Source organism: Homo sapiens, chromosome 17 (assembly GCF_000001405.40).
Source record: "Homo sapiens chromosome 17, GRCh38.p14 Primary Assembly".
Classification (NCBI taxonomy): Eukaryota; Metazoa; Chordata; class Mammalia; order Primates; family Hominidae; genus Homo; species Homo sapiens.
In genome coordinates this window covers 10407835-10429638 of record NC_000017.11, presented here as the reverse complement: position 1 = coordinate 10429638, position 21804 = coordinate 10407835, and the positions used below count along the sequence as shown (strand labels likewise).

At 36.2% G+C, this 21804-nt stretch overlaps 1 protein-coding gene and 1 long non-coding RNA gene across 2 annotated transcripts in view; one reads left to right on the top strand and one right to left on the bottom strand.

Moving 5' to 3' along the window:
- The window catches only part of MYHAS (myosin heavy chain gene cluster antisense RNA), a 242409-nt gene that overhangs the window by 195902 nt on the left and 24703 nt on the right, over positions 1 to 21804 (bottom strand). The window lies entirely within an intron of this gene.
- MYH8 (myosin heavy chain 8) overlaps positions 7689 to 21804 on the top strand; it is a 31629-nt gene continuing 17513 nt past the window's right edge. Inside the window, exons 1-17 of the mRNA NM_002472.3 lie at positions 7689 to 7709; positions 7933 to 7976; positions 9382 to 9621; positions 10609 to 10752; positions 10838 to 10994; positions 13931 to 13958; positions 14059 to 14167; positions 14255 to 14347; positions 14460 to 14523; positions 15155 to 15253; positions 15344 to 15447; positions 15599 to 15737; positions 16911 to 17029; positions 17120 to 17269; positions 18692 to 18862; positions 20051 to 20360; positions 20475 to 20542. Coding sequence (NP_002463.2) covers positions 9412 to 9621; positions 10609 to 10752; positions 10838 to 10994; positions 13931 to 13958; positions 14059 to 14167; positions 14255 to 14347; positions 14460 to 14523; positions 15155 to 15253; positions 15344 to 15447; positions 15599 to 15737; positions 16911 to 17029; positions 17120 to 17269; positions 18692 to 18862; positions 20051 to 20360; positions 20475 to 20542 — 1965 coding nt within the window. The 5' untranslated portion in view covers positions 7689 to 7709; positions 7933 to 7976; positions 9382 to 9411. The remainder of the gene's footprint in view (positions 7710 to 7932; positions 7977 to 9381; positions 9622 to 10608; positions 10753 to 10837; positions 10995 to 13930; positions 13959 to 14058; positions 14168 to 14254; positions 14348 to 14459; positions 14524 to 15154; positions 15254 to 15343; positions 15448 to 15598; positions 15738 to 16910; positions 17030 to 17119; positions 17270 to 18691; positions 18863 to 20050; positions 20361 to 20474; positions 20543 to 21804) is intronic.

Here is a 21804-nt window from a genome sequence, read left to right as displayed (position 1 = left end):
CCCAATAAAAAGAAATGAACTACTGATACATGCAAGAATGTGGATGAATCTAAATAACATTCCTCTTTGGCATGAGTCATATGAAAGGTCAGTTGTTTCCTTTGGTTGAAGAGAATATAATTACAGAGTTTTAGAAAAGGTAGAGATGTCTTAAAGTGGCTGTAATTCATCTGCTTTTACTCACTGCAGAGAGAAAATAGAGGAACTCTTAGGGCAGAGGAAATCTTAGGAATTGTAAGCTAATTTCTGGCAAGGACTCTTAGAGCAGAAGGGTCATTGGATACGGTAACTTAATGTTCACCCTCGGCTTAATTGTAAGTGGATACTAGCGAAGAAGAGCAAGGACAAGGGATGTAAGCCAGACCCTTGGAAGGGCCTTTACTCTAAGTTAAAATAAATGAGTTGTCACACAAGAATGGTAGAAGAGATATCTGTACATTACAGAAGGGTTGAAATATACCAATAATTAGGCTTTAGCAAAATATATCTCCCAGTTTAGTATTCTTATATATGTTACCTATAAAAACTCTTTACTTCATTGTTTATTGTTATTTTAAATAAGATTTTCAGTTTTCAGTATATCTCAAAGAGAACCAGTGGAAAATGCATTATGCTGATCCAAATCTTAGATTAAGGCGAGTTTCAAGTTTCAACCACTGACCACATCATCGGAGCACCACCACTTAACAGGTGGCCACTTAATTAACTTACAAGTAACTGAATTGACAGTTGTTTCCAAAATTTTGCTATTAGAAGAAATGTTAAATGTACACTCTTGAGCATCCTTCCTATTTCAGTGTGCTTCTGCAGGAAAGAAAGTGAGAAGTGAAATCACTGCAATTTTAAATTTCAAAAGATATAACAAATTGCCCTGGAAATTTACACCTTTACTCACAACATATTACATTCACCTCTCTGCACCACCATTTGCTACCATTATTATTTTTTTTTTGCCAACTTGATGGGTAAAATACACTAGCTCTTTGTTATTTTATTTTGTACCTCTTGAGATTGAGCATGTTTTCATGTTTATTAGCCATATGTATTGCCTCTTCCATGAATTATCTATTTCTATCTTTTGGCTATTTTTTCCTACTTGCTTGTATCTCCCTTTCTTTTCTATTTGAAAGAGATGTGTGTGTGTGTGTGTGTGTGTGTGTGTGTGTGTGTGTGTGTGTGTGTGTGTTGAATATAACTTCTTTATTTAAGTTGCTAATAGTTTGTCCAAGCCTGCCACTTGTCTTTCAATTTGTTTGTGTAGATTTTTTTAATCATTGAGAAGTTTTACATTTTGATGTGGTCAAATGTCTGATCTTTTTGCCTTATTAAAGATCTCCCCCTACTCCGACAGTATCAATATATTCTCCTATAATTTCTTCAATACTTCTTTGTTTTTATGCCTAAGATGTTAATTCATCTAGAACTTATTTTTATAAATGGTGTCAGCCAAGGAAGTAATTTAATTTTTTTTCAAATTGTTAAGTCTCAATTTTAATTCACTGAATTGTTCTTCCCTTCCTCTAGTGAATCAGAAATGCACCTTTATCTTATACTAACTTGCTATACATACAAGAGTCCATTTCTGGACTATATTATGTTCTACTCTTATACTTATCTACATTAATTATATATTGTTTTAATCCCATATTTTAAAGATGTGTTTTGATGTCAAGTAGGATGGCCTGTTAATTCATTGGGTGGTAAAAGCTTTTTATTCCTGGAAACTTGCTTTCTTTTACTTAGAACTCCACTACTGCAATTCTCCAACCAGAATAGATGCAATATCTTTTGTCTGCTATTTCCCAGTCTGGCCATTTCTTATAATATCCAACATCCATTCCTGGAAAACAAACCAATAAAAACAAATGTCTGAACAACAACTTATGTGGAATGTTAATAACAGCATTATTTATAAAAGCCAAAAGCTAGGAAGAATTCAAATGTCCATCAACTGGTTAATGGATAAACAAAATGTGGTACCTCTAGACAATGGACTACCACATATACATTCATAAAAAGAAATGAATTACTGACACATAAAACAGCATATAGATGAAATTCAAAAAATTGAATTTCCTTCTAGGATACGAACACACAACAACCAAACACACTCACAAAAGATAAAAAGTTAATAGCTAGATAAAATCTGCCTCCCCAGCAACCAACTTTCTACACCTGGAAGTTTAAAAAATAAAATAATTTGGGAGTTGAAATGAAAATGCTAAGGGAAAGAAGCCAGACACGAAAAATTGCCTATTGTAGGATTCCATTTCTATACGATTTCTTAAGAAGGCAAAATTGTAGAGACAAAAAGCACATCAGTGGTTCCCCAAGGTTTGGGGTTGAATGGGAATTAACAGCAAATGAGCAAAAGGAAACTTTTTGGATTGATAAAAGTATTCTAAAACTAGATTGTGGTGATGACTGCACAATTTTATAAGTTTACTAAAATTCATTAACTGTATAATTAAAATGGATGACATTTAAGGTATGTAAAATTCTACCTAAATAAAGATGTTTAAAAAAAATACCCTGATCTATGAACAAAGCCACAAAAGAAATGTCAACTAATTCTAAAATGAGATATCATACAGGTGACAGTCACTGTTCATCATGCAATCAATCAATCAATAAACTACAGCCAAAAACTGGGAACAACCCAAAAATTTGTCTGCAGTAGAATGAATAAATAATCATATTATCAGACAAGGTAATACTGTACACAATGAATATAAAACACAGTTACATGCAACTTCATGGAAAAATCTCACAACAATAATTTTGGGCAAAAGAAGTAAGATACTAAAAAATAAATTCAGTTGTATTCACATGAAGTTCAAAACCAGCAAAACTAAACTAGGGATGCATATACAAATTTTAAAACATTAAGAAATGCAGAGAAATAATTATCATAAAAATAAATTCATAGTAACCTTTTAAGGAAGGAAAATATGAGTTATAATACAGAAGATCATGAGAGTTTCGTGGGGTATTGGATACTATTTGAATTGTTTTATGACTTACATCCACACACACAAACACAATCACAGGAACCATAATCCTCATTCCCATTGGGCGTACTAGGATATGAACACACCACAACCACACACACTCACAAAAGATAAAAATAATTAACGGCTAGATGAAATCCGCCTGCCCAACACCCAAATTCATACACCTGGAAGTTTAAAAAACAAAATGCTTTAAATAATTTGGGAGTTGAAACAAGAATCAAAATTTTAAACTAATTATAATTAATCAAAACAAATCTAAGGAAATAAAGCAATTGATAAAACTAAAAGAAAATAATAAGCTAGAAAATAAAAGCTATCAGTAAAACTAAATGAAAAAGATAAAACTTTGGCAAATATGATTTAAAATAAAAAGAAGAACAAAATTAATATAAATAATGAAACAGATTACTAAACTGAGATTTTTTATTATAGAGATATGCACAAAAAAGACCCAAAAATATAAAAACTCACACAAAATAAGTAATTTTATAGGAAAATATAAATCATCCAAATGGGCCAAAAGACAAGTAGAAACTCTACAAAGACTAATCAATAATCATAAAAAAAACTCAATAAGAGTAAAAAAATTATATTCCACAAAGGCTAGAGGTCAAAAGAATTCCATGGAGGAACTCTATCAAACCATCATGGAACAGATAATTCACATCTCAAACGCAATGTTATAGAAAACACAAACAAATGGGAAGCTGCTCAGTTTATTTTACAAGACTAATATGATCCTAATATCAAAACAAGAAAATGATAGCACAAGAAAACTTTGACCTAGTCATATATGAACTCAGATTTTAAAATTCCAATAAAAAATTCGAAAACTGAAAGCAGCAGAGAATTAAACAATATTATATCAATAGCTTTTATTTCATGAATTCTAGGGTGGTAAAGGTGAGAAAAACCTACCATATAATTCACTCCATTGATAGGTCAGGGGAGAAAAACAGTAATCTCAACAGATATAAAAAATTTGGTAAAATTCAACCCATTATTTGTAGACATAATTTACATACCATAAAATTCACAATTTAAAGTGTATAATTCAGTGGTTTTTATTAGATTCACAAAGTTATGCAACCATCACTATTAATTCCAGAATGTTTTCATCACCCCAAAAAGAAACTCCATGTCCATTTTCAGTCACTCCCCAATTCTCTTCTCTCCACATCCTCTGGCAATCACTAATGTATTTTCTTTCTCTATGGATTTGCCTATTCTGGGCATTTTAGATCTACAGAATCATCAAATATGGGCCCTTTGTGTCAGGCTTCTTTCACTTAACATAATATTTTTAGGTTCACCCATATAGTAGCATCTAACTTCACTCCTTTTTATGGCTGAATAATATTTCATTGCATTAATAGAGTCCATTATAGGATAAACAGGATTTTGCTTATCTACCTGTTGCCCGATGGACATCTGATTGTTCCCACTTTTTGGCTATTATAGATAATGTTGCTATAAACTTTATGTACAAGTTTTTATATAAACATGTTTTCAATTCTCTCGGGCATATACCTAGAAATAGAACTATTTAACTCATTTTTATGATCAAAATGATTAGCAAACTAGATACAAAGTATACAGTAAATATTATGTTTGGTGAAACATCAGATGCAATCCAATAAAAGTCAAGAACAAGATAAGGATGCCCTTATCTTGCACAGGATATGTACACAAGTATCTCTGTATTAATACTATATTAATACTATTCAACACTGTCCTAAATGTCATAGACAATGTAATAAGAGAAGGGAAAAAAATAACATATAAATGACAAGAGAAAGAAGACACAAATTGTGATTATTTGCGCATGACACATTGAAAATCCAAGAGCATCAAATAAATTATTAGAGGTGGTAAGAGAGTTCGGCAAGAGGGCCAGATAACGGTTAACACAGAAAAGTCAGTAACTTTCTGAAACGCCGTGTATGTTAGGGATTGTGTTTGAATGTAACAAAAAAAACCTGAGTAAACAATGCCTCAAAAAATTAGTGCTTTACTTTTTTCTTCACACAATGAAATTCAGCTCACAGGTGTCAAGGCTAAGGTCTCCAAAAATCTCTTGACCTTTCTTTTAAGGCTATAGTTCTAGCCATTACATCTGTGTTCTACGTAGGAGAAAGATAGAGATAGGAAAGAAAAAGGTAGTATGAGCAAAGTCTACCCTCTTTTAGAAAAGAGCTTTTCTGGAAGCTCCACCCAGCAACTTCTGCTTGCATTTCATTAGCCAAAACAGTGTCATATGGTTACCCTATGCTGAGAGTCTGAATATAATAATATATAGTTTGGCATACTACTGCCACAAACAAAAGTGAAGCTCTGATTATGCAAACTTGTCTGCCACGTGCCAGTAGTAACCAAGTAGAAAGTGTAATAGAAAAAATAATCCTATTCAACATATCAACAGAAAACTCTAAAATTTGTAGGAATACACCGAACAAGGAATATAAGATCATTATGGAAAAAACTTTTAAAAATGACTAAAAAGTATTTTTGAAAAGGACTTGGAATAAACAGGAAAATATATCATCCTTATAAACTGAAAGACTCACTTTTATAAAGCTATCAACTCTTATCAAATTAATCTATTAAATCAATTTAATCAAAATCAAAATCCCAATAGAATTTTCCATAACCTGAAGAACATGATTCTAAAACTCATATAGTAGAAGGTAAAAATTAACAGGACAACTTTGAATAATTAGGGAAAATTGGCCCTACTGGTCATCAAAACCTATGCTATTGGCATAGAAATACGGTACAAAATATGGAATCCAGAAACAGATTACATGCACACGAACACACACACAGCTGGATTACAAATCTCACTATTTTTTAAGCATCAGATTGAAAATACAGGATTACACATCTCACTATTTCATAAGCATTAGCTTGAAAATACAGAAGAATATATGTATGACTCTGAGTTCTTGAGTTAGAGAAAGTTTTTCTTATACAATACACACAAAAAACCAAAAATATAAAAGAAAATTTTTTATAACTCTGACTACCTAAAGATGTAAAACTTCTAGAAGATTGAGATCGCATAGTAAAGATCATTATTAAATCAGGAGAAACTTTTTAGAACTTGTATAAACAAAATTATTACAATCTTAAACCTACGGAATTTTACACAGAAATTTAAAAATGAGTAATATCAAAATAATCCAGTGATAGAGGGAATGGTGAGAATATATAAGAAACAAGACTGACCATGAACTGATAATTATCAGTGCTGGATGATGAATATACTAGGTTCATTATGCTATCCCCTCTACTTTTGCATATGTTTGAAATGTTTTCATATTATTATTTATGTACTAACATGGCAAATGATCCAAGAGTGTAGAATGAAAAAAGAAAGTTTGTAAATAAATAATCATACTATCTATATTTTAAACATCTATATTATATATTATAAATTTTCTATGGCCCAATTTCCTTAGACCAGTTTTACTAATTTATATTTTCCCAGAAAATACATATGTAAATGTACAGAAAAGGTCTGCAATATTACAAACTAAACGGGTATCCGTAGTTACCTTGGGAGAAAAGGGAGATACCAGCATTGTGAGTGTTCATCAAAGGGAAAATTTAGCCTAATCTCTAAGGCTTTAATTTTTATGTAATTACAGTGTAAGAGGTTACACACCTGCATATATTTATCAAACCCATAGGCCTGGAATTGTTCTGCATCCTATCTGTGGTGGTGGCTACATGAATCAATACGTGTATAAAAACTCATACAATCATACAACAAAAGAAGTAAATTTTATTATAAAGTTTAAAAATTTTTAAAAATAAAAGCAAAAAACCTCATAAAACTGTCACTTTAAAAGGGTGAATTTGACTCTATGTAAATTATACCTCAATATATCTGACCTTAAAAAAAGGAAAGAGTTTAATTAAAAAAAATCATAATTTATTTAAAGAATAGGGTATAAATTACATTAGTGATATGATATATTAATTATTAAAGCATATTACAAGGCACACATGTACTATATATGCATCTATAATATGATCCCACTTATACGCCTCTATCTTATTTCTGCATTAGAGATTACAGAGACTTTTTTTACTTACCTGTATTTTTTTCTGTAATAAACATATTATTTTCTACTAATAATGTTTTTCAAAGTTAGATGAGTGGGCACTGGCCCAATGGTGGAGACTCAAGGTAGAATCTCTGCTGTCTAAGCCTGGACTTCAAGAGTGAGCATCTGTAGTGGCCCAAGGGAATGCAGTGGGGGGTTCCCGTGGTAGCAAATAAGGAAACGTGCTTAAGGCCCTGACAGCCGTGTGCCCCGGGTATCTGATCATTTGGCTACCACAGGCGTGCATGAAAGAGTTTGCCAAATTGAATATAGCTCTTAAGAACTTACTCTGAGGCCCCATCAGGCACTGTCAAAGATTCCCTTCCCAGCACACTAGAAAGCATTCTCTGCTGGCAGATCGGTCTCTGTCAAATTATTTATAGGAGATTGGTTTGCATACACAAAATGATATGAATACTTCTAATTATATCCAAACATGACAAATGTCACTACAAACTATGCTGAGGGTTCATGTTGCCAAATGTCTTGCCCTAACAAAGAGGAGGTAGTTGCAGCATCAGCACATTAGTTCCTATATAAGCAGGACTGCCCCTTGTGCCTTATTTCCACCAAGAACCCAGAGGTAAGTGATGAAGGCCTTGGAACTCGAAAAACCCCAGGTGGGGAAAAGAGCTGACCTCGTAGTTATCTGTGAGCATTAAACTGCTCTCTCAATCTTAACTTTTGTCTTCATAGAACCAAGCTTTGGGGTAGGGAAACTTCAATTCTGTAACTATAATAACAATTCTGTAACTATAATATTGGAATTTCGGAGCATCACTAATAAGAAGCTTGTTGTTTTACAGAGTGGAACACTTCTGAACCTGCATTTTTATCTGGAACTCCAGAGGTAAGACTTGGCTTTATTAATTTATTGATGACAGAGGGGATATAGTCTAATGAAGCTGTGAACAATCCTGAATTATACACCATTTCCATGTTTTTGCAGTTATATCAGGAAAGAGTGTTTCCGAGTGAGTGTTTATAAATGCTAGAAAATAACTTTTTCAAAATGTCTTCTTCTCAGAGACTATCCTCATTTGGGTTCCAAGATTCAAAGACCGTTTAGGACAGAATTAGCTTCAACAGTGAGTTCTCAGCTGTGCTTAGAACTGTCCAGTGGCAATAGACTAGTCCATGCCAGTCTTCTTCTATGGCAAAGCATTGAGGACTTAGGACATTTTATAGACATTTTTAAAGACTCCAGAAAGATTTTTACCTAGAAATATAAATATAAATATTTTAGCTACCTTTGATTATTTGTTATTTGTTGTTAGAAAGACTTATTATTATTTACTTAACAGGTCGCAAGTATTACATCCACCGGGTGTTAAATACCATGACTAATTTAAGAGGAATCCTGCCCTTCCCTAAGTAACTTTCTAATTGAAAATAAAGGAAAAACTCAACCAATCTAACATGTCCACATTGCAGAGGCCTATCTATTAATCAGAAGACAATGGCTTACATGCATGTGATGTACTCTTAAAACTTTTTTCTCTGTTTTCTGGGTGGAAAGAAAAGAAACCCATGGAATTTATGTGGGAAGAAGGGCCTTTGTGCTGAAGCTCTCATTCCTCTGTGGTTAGATCTGTTAACTGACAGCTGAAATCTCTCATGTCAAAAAAGATTTTGGAATCAAGGCAATGCTAAGTCTGTTGGGAACAACCCAAATTACAAAAAATCCAGAGTATTAGAATGTATTATGTTCTTCTAACAATCCACTGAGAGATACAACACCAAATATCAACATAAAGATGTTAAAAATAATTATTTGCTTTATGAGAGAAAATGGCCATCTTAAAAGGCAAAGATTTTTTGATAGCTTTGAAAATATGAACCTTCATTTGAACAAGACAAACTTTCTTTTCTCACCATATGATTGTCCTGGCATATGGCATAGACAAACATTATGCAGAAAGAGGAGAGGAAATTAAATAATGACAGTTGCTATAAAACAATCCATCAATAGTTTTAGCTGTAGAGGTTTCATTCTAATTCAATTGTAGGTACCCTATCCCTGAGGATCAAGATATGTGATCTGAAAAGGAAATTCACAGTCCTAAAAATGAAATCTCAAATTACAGTCTCACTCCATACTTGTCCTTTAGACTATGTTAGAACACTGGGGAGTGCCAGTTTGGAGGAATAGTTACAGCACAGGCTATGTTCAACATTTCTTTCATTTCAAATCCTAACTCACATTTGTGACTTCTGCTTTTTATATCTCTCTCTCCCGTTTCTCTCCTCCCTAGGCAGAATCCTTTGCTAAATAAATCGCAGCCATGAGTGCGAGCTCAGACGCTGAGATGGCTGTTTTTGGCGAAGCTGCTCCCTACCTTCGAAAATCAGAAAAGGAGCGGATTGAGGCCCAAAACAAGCCGTTTGATGCTAAAACATCTGTCTTTGTGGCGGAGCCCAAGGAATCCTATGTGAAGAGCACTATACAAAGCAAAGAAGGAGGGAAAGTAACCGTAAAGACTGAAGGTGGAGCAGTAAGTGAAAACAGGGAGAAAATACTCCCCATTTTATTTCTTGGTTCAAAAGTTGAAGCCTAACTTACTGGGAATCTCCAAGCCTGTTGCCAATGCAAACACCCTTCTAGTCAGTGTTGAGACATTAGATGTGGAAGGCAAAAGAAATTCACAGCAGTACCTTCATGTCTTCCCTTCCCAACTTCGCACAGGACCTCACCCCACTATGTATGGCCTTCACCATTTCCCTTCAATTCCCCACTTCCTAGTCTGAATGTCCAAACTTGAGGGAAATGAAAACAAGCTCCTCCTATCAGAAGTTAAATATTTACTTAGTTAAATAATGTATTAATATCCCCATTACTTCCAAAAACATGAAGTTTCTTAATGAATGAAAGAAAAAAATAAAAATTTAGCCTACTAAAATAAGAAAAAAAGGATATAAACTGATAAATCTGGGATAAGAGAATGTGGGAGGAAAAAATCTTTTAAAAAGATAGTGTCCTAGCTCATCATAGGAAACAGGTTTTCTTAACATTAAACTCTGAAATGAATATATTTCATGCCTTTTTTAAGAGGACATTAAATAATATAATGAGAAGTATGTGTGATTATAGTTTTGTACCAAAATATACAGGCAAACATAAACCCTACCTCCAACCATTAAAACGAACTGGTCTTAGCCAGGCGCAGTGGCTCACGCCTGTAATCCCAGCACTTTGGGAGGCTGAGGCAGGTGGATCACCTGAGATCAGGAGTTCGAGACCAGCCTGGCCAACATGGCGAAATCCTGTCTCTACTAAAAATACAAAAATTAGCTGGGCATGGTGATGGGCACTTGCAATCCCAGCTACTCAGAAGGCTGAGGCAGGACAATCACTTGAAGCAGGAGGGCGGAGGTTGCAGTGAGCTGAGATCGCGCCACTGCACTCCAGCCTGGGCAAAAAAAGCAAAACTCTATCTCAAACAAACAAACAAAAACGAACTGGTTTCTTGCTTACTCACCAGACTCTAACTGTCAGGGAAGACCAAGTCTTCCCTATGAACCCTCCGAAATATGACAAAATTGAGGACATGGCCATGATGACTCATCTACACGAGCCTGGAGTGCTGTACAACCTCAAAGAGCGCTATGCAGCCTGGATGATCTACGTGAGTGTCTGTAAACACCTTTTTATTTCATGTCTCTCTCTGAGTAAAAACGAGATCCAAATGATAAATGTTCTGATCTTCCCAGACCTACTCAGGCCTCTTCTGTGTCACCGTCAACCCCTACAAGTGGCTGCCGGTGTACAAGCCCGAGGTGGTGGCTGCCTACAGAGGCAAAAAGCGCCAGGAGGCCCCGCCCCACATCTTCTCCATCTCTGACAATGCCTATCAGTTCATGTTGACTGGTGAGTGAGTGAGGCATCTATTTACAGAAATGTGTAAATAGAATCTTTGCAGAACAGACAGACCTCTTCCGAGCCTCTTTATGTTATGATAATACATTCTAGCCACATGGGGCTTCACTGTTTTCAAAAAACTTTCACAGCTGTGACATCTTATGCTCTTCCCAGCAGCTACCTCCATTTTACAGATGAGTAAAGTGAAGCTCACTGAATTCACTGTCCTTCCCAAGCTAACACAGATAGTTAAGTGGAAGCCTAGCTGAAACAATTACTAGACCACTGTAAACATATTTATTGTTTTCCATATTTTGTTACTTTCCAATTTGGATAGAAAAAAGTGTTCAAACAGACTTTTTAAAAATACCCAGGCTCACAGCAGTCAACGAAAAGAGTTATCAGCCACAGCTGGAAAACTTTGTGAATTCTTATGTTTATTTTTGAATGACACAGCTAATATTGCCAGCCTTTAAGGGTAAAACATGAGTAAAGAAAGCTATGATTTTCCTCCCAAAGATTTGAAGCACTTTCCTATTACAATGAAAGGAAAAAATCTTTTCTGAGAAAAATGTTTAAATTGTATCAAAGTCTGTTACTCCTGCCTTATCAAGGCATAAACAACCAGCTTTGATACGCATTATAGGCCCAAATACAGCATTAAAACCTTTTATCTTCACACACCAAATGCACTGCCTTTGGAAATACTTTCTATTCCTGAGTTTCCTGTTGTTCCATGGAATTTTGGAAACTAAGGTGTTTTTTCTTTCTTTTTGGTTTGTTTTTTTGCACTTGTTTTTAAATTGTCTTTTCGAGGGGGAGAATAAAGAGGAAGGAATAAAATAGGAATCTCCCATTACAAATTGGCCATCAATTCTACAAGGATTCTATGCCAGTAAACTGTTCTTTGATTGTCAACAGAAGCTAACTACCTCCCAGAAATTATCCAAACGCTGGCTCATTTCAGAGGTTTTAATACTCAACAGCTGCATTTACACAGCTATGTACACCACCCCTGTCCTCCCACTCAGCAAGCCCCCCGCTCCCCAGGGTTTGGGGCTGCTCCAAATTCAAGGTTACTTATGGCTCCCAAACATGATTTTTGTACAAAATGGTACAGAGCTCTAGCCTTTGAGCTGGTGAGTGTTATTTTAGCATTGCCAAGAGACCAGAACATTGTTTTCTCATCTGTGCTTCCACTAGATGTGATATAATCTTCCACGGTTTTACTTATACTAGAAAACAAATCTATCTGAATAGGATGCAAAATCTGCATCGACTTCCCTGAAGAGAAGGCTAAAGTTTTCTAAAGTCTATGTCTATATCTACATCTAAATAACATCCAGATTTATATCTATTTTCCCTGAATAGATTTTTAGGTTTTAGAATTCTCTAAAATCTATAATCTAACACTATAGAATTAGAGATTTAACAAATCAGCAAATTGATGTAAATACAACATATCAGTCACATAATTAGTGACATTTGTTTTTATTATTTAGAAATGCATATAAGATTAAAAGGAAAATAAAACAGATGAACACAAATATTCACAATTCCAGACCCCTTCCTTATTTAGTATTGCCAGAAGTCAAACTAGTGACATCAAAAGCTGGGAAGAGGCCAGGAGGATATATTTGACCTTAACTAGCTATGTACTTAATATTAGAAAAGTCACTTCCTCCTTTACAGGTCTCAGTTTCTTTATCCCTTAAATGTAAGAGTTGGCCTAAGCAATTTCTAAGATCTTTTATGCCTTCAAAATTCTGTAATTCTAATTGAAGTATTTATAAATACAATTATAAGATTCTGGGATTTTCTTTAAAATAATTCAGTGAGATTGGGATGAGGTATAGATGATATAAAATTGGCCAAATATTAATAACCATTGCATCTGTATGATGGGCACATGGGGATTCATTATATTATTGTCTCTACTTCTGTATATGTTTGAATTTTCCATAATAAATGTTTTAAAAATTAATCAAATATGTACCTTACACTCGTTAGGATGTTTACTATCAAAAAATCAGAAAATAACAAGTTTTGACAAGAACTGGAGAAATTAGAACTCTTGTACACTGTTAGTGATCATGTAAAATGATCAGCCACTGTGGAAACAGTATGGTAGTTCCTCAACAAATTAGAAATAGAATTACAGTATGATCCCACAATTCTACTTCTGAGTATATCCCCAAAAGAACTGGAAGCAGGGTCTGGAAGAGACATTTGTACAACTATGTTAATAGCAGCATTATTTACAATAGCAAAAACATGGAAGCAACCCAAGTGTCCATCAACAGATGAATGGATAAGCAAAATGTGGTATATACATGCAATAAGATATCCTGCCTTTAAAAGGAAGGAAACTCTGACATATGCTAAAATATGAATGAACCTTGAGGACACCATGCTGAGTGAAATAAGCCAGTCACAAAAAAGACAAATACTCTATGATTCCTCTTACATGAGGTACCTAGAGTAGTCAAATTCACAGAGGCAGAAAGTAGAATGGTGGGCGCCAGGGAATGGGAGGAGTAGGAGATGGGGAGTTAAGAGTTTAAGGGACACAGAGTTTCAGTTTGACAAGGTGAAAAGAATTACGGAGATGAAGGGTGATGATGATTTTACAACTTTATGAATGTACTTACTGCCAGTGATCTCTACACTTAAAAATGGTTAAGATGGTAAATTTTATGTTATGTGTATCTCATCGCAATTAAAAATTAATAAATACAAAAAGGAAGAGATGATTCTTTGCTTTCATTTTCACAAATTTTACACTGAGAAGCAATTGGCTATTTTGGAGGATAAACACAAAATCAAAACCAAAGGTGACATCTTCAAAAAGTTAAAAAGAACAAGCTGTGTTTGATCTGAACTGATTCAATACTCTTCATATTAAATATGCATTTTTTAACGGATGATTTTGAATTCTTTCACAGATCGAGAGAATCAGTCCATCCTGATCACGTATGTGATTTTTTTTCTTCTCTGATTTGCAAGGATTGTCTTAGATGTTGACAATGCAGGCCATAGTTCTCTGATCTCTTCTCTGATTTCTGTTTGACAGCGGAGAATCTGGTGCCGGAAAGACTGTGAACACCAAGCGTGTCATCCAATACTTTGCAACAATTGCAGTTACTGGAGAGAAGAAGAAGGATGAATCTGGCAAAATGCAGGTAGGTCTGATAGCCAGAGTCAAAACCTCTGTCAAGGCTCTCAGACATCTGGAGTCCCAGATGTGAGAACTGCTCCTTCCTTTGCAGGGGACTCTGGAAGATCAAATCATCAGCGCCAATCCCCTACTGGAGGCCTTTGGCAATGCCAAAACTGTGAGGAATGACAACTCCTCTCGCTTTGTGAGTCTCTTGGTCTCAACCCCTAACTTCCAGAGTAGCCACGTCTGAATTATTATTTCATTTGCATCTCTCTTTGTGTTTCAGTTTTCTAATACTAAATATTCTTTTCAAGGGTAAATTCATTAGAATCCACTTTGGTACTACAGGGAAGCTGGCATCTGCTGATATAGAAACATGTGAGTAACAGGACCATTGAAAATCAAAACAGAGAGACAAGTGATTTCATTTGCAGGGATATTTTGCCACCCTTGCTGTGCATGAAGCCTGTTAAAAGGGTAGTCTGCTGCCAGTACTGCCTGTAAGCTAATGCTAGGCTTACCCATAATCCACTGAGTGCTCCCTTTATCTCAATCTCAGACTTGATGATTCTGTAACACATCCTAGAGAAATTCCTGCCTCAGAAGCAACTATGATTTTTTTCCAGGACAAAAACTGGGCTACTTATGGGTTTCCAATACATCTCTGTGGTTTGCTCCTGATCTGAGTTTTGGTAGATGTTTCCAAGGTAGGCCCTCACCACCCAGAGTGAATCCTAGGTGATCCAAAGAAGGAGGGGATATTAGGGATCAACTAAAATACAGAGGTCATGGATCCTTCATGTGAAAAATATATTTGTCCTAGAGCAGGTATGCTTCAGTTGCTGCCCTTAGACAGTGAGAATCACTGTCTATCTGCAATTGGTCATCAAGTTGAAATCTCATTGGAGCCAAATGTAATGCTCCAAATTTGACCAAAGACGTGAGGTTCATTTACTATCTCAGAAGCATTGATACTTTTTTCAAACTCGATATCTATTTCCCTCTCCAGATCTTTTAGAAAAGTCCAGAGTTACTTTCCAGCTAAAGGCGGAAAGAAGCTACCATATTTTTTATCAGATCACTTCCAATAAGAAGCCAGATCTAATTGGTAAGAAAGAACTTAAAGTCATAGATAGAAGTTAATATTTTTATTAACAATGTCTAATGTAAAATGTATGCCCTGAATTCTGTGACCCAGAAATGCTCCTGATCACCACCAACCCATATGACTATGCCTTCGTCAGTCAGGGGGAGATCACAGTTCCCAGTATTGATGACCAAGAAGAGTTGATGGCCACTGATGTAAGTCAAAAACACTAATTTTAAAAATCCATTATGTATGGAAATGACAATAGCAAACTACTGTAGGTGTGGTTACCTTAGGATATGTATAAATTCTCTTATAAGTTAGTCTCTTCAGCCCTAACTTTTGTCCTCTCATTTTTCCTGGTAGAGTGCCATTGACATCCTGGGCTTCACTCCTGAAGAGAAAGTGTCCATCTATAAACTCACAGGGGCTGTGATGCATTATGGGAACATGAAATTCAAGCAAAAGCAGCGTGAGGAGCAAGCTGAGCCAGATGGCACAGAAGGTACCAAATGAAACTTTATCTGGGTTTAATGAGAGAATGTAGCAAAAAAAAAAATCCTATTTTACACTCACATCTCCTTTGTGGCTGGACTTGCGACTTGTGAAGGGCATATACACATTTACACACACTGCATGCTTTCCTCACCCCCTCTCTTCCTTACATCTCCATGTCTCCATCATTTCCATCCAGCCCAAATAAGTCACAAACAAACCCCAATAGCCACTTATAAGCACAAACTATGAGATAGAATGAGATATAATAGTGCTCCTGGTTGGCCTTGGCAACGAAGGTGGGTATATGTAGATAACTGTAGACTGCTCTATTTCAGCACTAGATAGGAAGACCCTAGGAACTGACAGCAGAGAATCTGCCCAAATACAGGGCTGGGGAGAAAGATACCCCTAGAGTCATCTGTAAGCAAGTGTGTATTGTCTGTATATAAATCCATAGACAATATAGGCAGCAAGTAAGAGTTAAAAAAAGGAATTGAGAAAAAAGATCATATATTCTACGTATGGAAAGAGCACGCAATATACAGGATCTACCCCAGAAAGACAGTTATCGCTCCTTAAAGCCTTTCCTGACCACCTCGAATTGACATTCTTTCTTCCTCCTCTAAATGTTTCAGCAGTTACTGGTGTACCTGACATGTGGCATTTATTTACGTTATAGTCACCGACAGAATTTTAGAAAGGGATTCTGTAGGGATCATGCAGTAAATTTTAATCTCCACATTTGTAGATAAAGAAATTAATCCAGCAAGGTTTAATAGGGAGGTGAAAAACTAAGATAAGAATCAAAATATTCTGACTTTTACCCTCTCTAACAGTGAATATTTATCTTATCCTTCCAACTACACCTAATGTGTCTTAAAAACAGGGACTATGGCTTTTACTTACAAAAAACTGCAAGACGGCAATAAATACTACATATGTTTACAGTTGATGAAAAATTTCTTAAAAACTACTTGAAATAAATCACTAAAGATCAGTATAACCAATCAACCATTTACTGGCAACCACATGCTCTAAGGTTAGAAAACCTCATTTGGCCTTTTATAGAATTATTTAAGCTTTTTATTTAAATAATAGATTGAATTGGAGAAAAATGGAAAGATTAGGTAAAAGAGGATATCCTTCATGAAACAACATGTCCTGAACTGTGTCTCTGCAGTCGCTGACAAGGCAGCCTATCTCCAGAGTCTGAACTCTGCAGACCTACTCAAAGCCCTCTGCTACCCTAGGGTCAAGGTTGGCAATGAGTATGTCACCAAAGGCCAGACTGTGCAGCAGGTAAGTGCATGACCTCAATGAATCACACACATCTCAGGCCTTCATGGCATGTCTTTAACAATACCAACAAACATTACTCTATCTGTGAAGGTGTACAATGCGGTGGGTGCTCTGGCCAAAGCCGTCTACGAGAAGATGTTCCTGTGGATGGTCACCCGCATCAACCAGCAGCTGGACACCAAGCAGCCCAGGCAGTACTTCATCGGGGTCTTGGACATTGCTGGCTTTGAAATCTTTGATGTGAGTTATATTAACAAGAATTAAGAAGGAGGCAATTGTGGGCTTTGATATATTAGGTATTATCATTATTCATCCACATTTATAGCGTCCATATTACTTGCTCCAACACTGCACCTAGAACAAAGGTTATCTCCAAAATAGGAGGTAACATAATGTACTACTAATAATAGCTAACGCTCACTGGGCCAGCAGTGTACACTAGGGACTTCAAAACGTTACCATATTTAATCTTCAAAACAACCCAAGGAGTAGCTAATATTCCCCCAACTTATATAGAAGAAACTAAGATGCAGGGAAATCAAAACACTAGCTAAAGATCCCACAGGTGCATAAGACAAATCCAGGACAGCAACCCAGATCTACAGCATTTGATCCATACACAAGGCTTCTTCATAGAGAAGAAAAGGCCCAAAGGTAGAAGCCTAGAGACAGATGATAGTCTGTCTCTCCTCTTCCAGATTTGTCTTACATAAACTATTTTACCTCCAGGGCATCAGTTCACCATCTATAAAATAAAGGAGTAAATTATTACAAAGACCTTTTAGATCTTCAACTGCTATACTATATCAGGTCCCTGCTTTCACACACCTGACGAGGGGGATTTGCTAAATGTCTGATATAAATAGAAGAGAAATTACCCTAATGATTTCACTTTATACACCAAGACCTTTATATTAAAGGTCTTAAGATCAGCTTTCCTTAATAATGTAACAGCCAAAGGTGAAAATGTGAACTTTATTTTGAATTGGAGAGTGGGAGTGGTGAAAGAAGTGAGAATTTCCAATCAACTCCTTTCCCTTTTACCTTTGAATCGAAACCATAACACAGGACCATGGTTGAACTTTTAAAGTATATTCTTGCCCATGCAATCTTAGAGGAGAAAAGGTAAATTCTACCAGAATTCTTGTTCTAACATTGATATCTGGGACCCTCAACAATGCCTGGGATTCATGAGAAAGGCTCACGTGAATAATGATTTTTTTTTTTTTTTTCTGAGACAGGGTCTCGCCCAGCCACCCAGGCTGGTGTGCAGTGGCGCGATCTCAGCTCACTGCAACCTCCACCTCCAGGGTTCAAGCAATTTTCCTGCCTCAGCCTTCCGAGTAGCTGGGACTACAGGTGCACGCCACCACACCCAGATAATTTTTTGTATTTTCAGTAGAGACAGAGTTTCACCATGTTGGCCAGGATGGTCTCAATCTCTTGACCTCATGATCCACCCACCGCGGCCTCCCAAAGTGCTGGGATTACAGGTGTGAGCCACCGTGCCCGGCCAATGATCATTTTTTGAGGGAGCAACGTTAGTTTTAACTGTATCTCATTACTACATTCCACATTTTTTCAATAAAAGAATTTTTTCAGTAATGAATTTTACTACTATAAAACTCATTTGATGTTGGAAATCTCTATTATTTTGTGTAGTTTAACAGCCTGGAGCAGCTGTGCATCAACTTCACCAACGAGAAACTGCAACAGTTTTTCAACCACCACATGTTTGTGCTAGAGCAGGAGGAGTACAAGAAGGAAGGCATCGAGTGGACGTTCATTGACTTTGGGATGGACCTGGCTGCCTGCATTGAGCTCATTGAGAAGGTCGGTTTGGTTTCCAAAGAAGGGCAGACTGTGAGGATCACTTTCCAGAAATCTTAAGCAATTCTAGAAAGTATTACTGTAATCTCAAATGGTTTGTGATCTGAACAAACTGGAAAATTACTATTTAGAAATTACTTCCTCTTTTTAACTTCTACATAAGAAAGATCTGACAGTGTTTACTTTTATTCTGTTCTAACCATTCTTATTCTGACACTGGATCAAATCCAACTTTAACACAGCACTGAAAACTCTATTTGAGATGTTCTGCTTTACTACAACTACTGTCCTCATTAGTTCTTGATCTATCTCCATTATGATCCATGATGTCCACAATAAAAATATTTTTCTATATAAAAATTAATGCACACATGACACAGTTAGTGCTTTCATGAAAGCCAATCTGTTCAAAGTCAAGAAGTCAAACTGCATACGCTACTTCATAATCTATTTTATTTATTTATTTATTTATTTATTGAGACAGGGCCTCACTCTGTCGCCCAGGCTGAAGTGCAGTGGTGCAATCACAGCTCACTGAAGCCTCAACCCCAAGGCTCAAGCGATCCTCTCACCTCAGCCTCCCGAGTAGCTGGGACCACAGGCATGTGCCACTATGCTTAGCTAATTTTTGTATTCTTTGTACAGACGGTGTTTTGCCATGGTCCCCAAGCTGGTCTTGAACTCCTGAGTTCAAGTGATCCTCCTGTCTTGGCCTCCCAAAGTGTTGGGATTACAGGCATGAGCCACTGTGCTCAGCCTATAATCTATTTTAAAGAAATTAAATACCCAAAATATCTTGAATAAAATTTGGTTGTTTATACTGTTTAATTACTGCATAGAGTCAACATCATAAGTCAGTAAGCTATTTTCATAACGAAGAAAAACTCTGACAATAGATTTATTCACTGAATAGGAAAAAAGTATAATAATACATAACATTTTAACATGCGGTGTTGAGGAAGTTTGTATCCAGCTATTCTTTTAATTGAAAGTAATGCTACAGATTGAATGTGAGAAGAATAGTGGAAAAGTCATTCTAGTGATAACAAGGGACTTCTTCGAGCTGTGACCCTGGTTTATTTCATACATATATTTAATTGGGGTGCTCATAATTCAATCAAATGACAGCCACCATGTCTCTATCTTTTGAGAGAAGTTAGGTTGACACCAATGTTACTTTTCTGAATTCAGCCACTGGGCATCTTCTCCATCCTGGAAGAGGAGTGCATGTTCCCTAAGGCAACGGACACCTCCTTCAAGAACAAGCTGTATGACCAGCACCTGGGCAAGTCTGCCAACTTCCAGAAGCCCAAGGTGGTCAAAGGCAAGGCTGAGGCCCACTTCTCTCTGATTCACTATGCTGGCACTGTGGACTACAACATTACTGGCTGGCTGGACAAAAATAAGGACCCCCTGAATGATACTGTGGTTGGGCTGTACCAGAAGTCTGCAATGAAGACTCTAGCCAGTCTCTTTTCCACGTATGCTAGTGCTGAAGCAGGTACTTTCTGTGTCCTTAATCTAAATTAAATCCATTCTCACATAATGTTATAATACATGTTCATATAAGCCTCTGGTATTCTATTCTTATTCACGGGTTTTCTTTTTACCTCAGATAGCAGCGCGAAGAAAGGTGCTAAGAAAAAGGGCTCTTCTTTCCAGACTGTGTCTGCCCTTTTCAGGGTAAAGTACAAATTTAATTTGAAATATCTACTCAGTTTCTATGAATTATCATAATTAAGGATTTAGAAAAAATTATGAGGCAATAAAATGTTAATAGGAATCACTTCAAATATCAGCTCTCGTCAGAGTATAGCCAAAGAAATACTACTCCTGTAGGAACGGATGCTTTACCCATTATTCCTTATTACGATTATCTAATGTATTCAGGATTGCCAAAATGCCCTTAGAAACTTTCTCATTATATAATGAGGCTGATTTCTAAAGAAGTATAGCTAAACTTCAAAGCTGTCCCTGTGGAAGGTCATATTCTTATTCCGCTTTGAATGCTGCCCTTTGAAAATGTTCCTGAGTTCCTCTTTGAGAATGAGCCTCAGATACACTCTTCATAACATCTTTCACCAAAACATATCTTTGTCCTCTGAGGTGAATTTAATTTTTCATTACAGCTGAAAATCATCTAAAGCCAAGCCCAGTGACTTAAATGGATCATTAAGATACGAAATATCTCTTGAGATTAAAGAATAATAATTTCACTACAAAGTAATGTGATTTTCCTATGTAGCTTAAAAACTTGTTCTTATATATGGACTAATAATGGCTTTTTAATCAAAATGTGTATGGCTAAGTCTCATTCCTTATAAAACTAAAATACAGACACGACATACGACCTATGATCTAAACAAGAAAACTACTCTTGTTCTTTTTCTTTCTCACAACCAATTTGCATTATCTTACCAAATAGACTTTTGTTTTATCAACTTGTTTTCATACATGTTTTCAAAATTAGGAACTCACATTACTTATTTTCTTCATTTCCTAATGGTTAACTGAGCTGTGGGAAAAAAAATCTGCCTTCTTGGCCGGGCGCAGTGGCTCACACCTGTAATCCCAGCACTTTGGGAGGCTGAGGCGGGCAGATCACGAGGTCAGGAATTCAACACCAGCCTGGCCAATATGGTGAAACCCCATCTTTACTAAGAATATAAAAATTAGCCGGGCATAGTGGTGCACGCCTATAGTCCCAGCTACTCGGGAGGCTGAGGCAGAAGAATCGCTTGCACCCAGGAGGTAGAGGTTGCAGTGGACCGAGATTGCACCACTGTACTCCAGCCTGGGCAACAGAGCGAGATTCTGTCAAAAAAAAAAAAAAAAATCTGCCTTCTTAAGAGTATATCTAGTCTCAGGTACCCAACACCCACCAACCCAAGGTTATATAGTTTCATAATTTTATTTTATTTTATTTATTTATTTTTTTTTCGAGA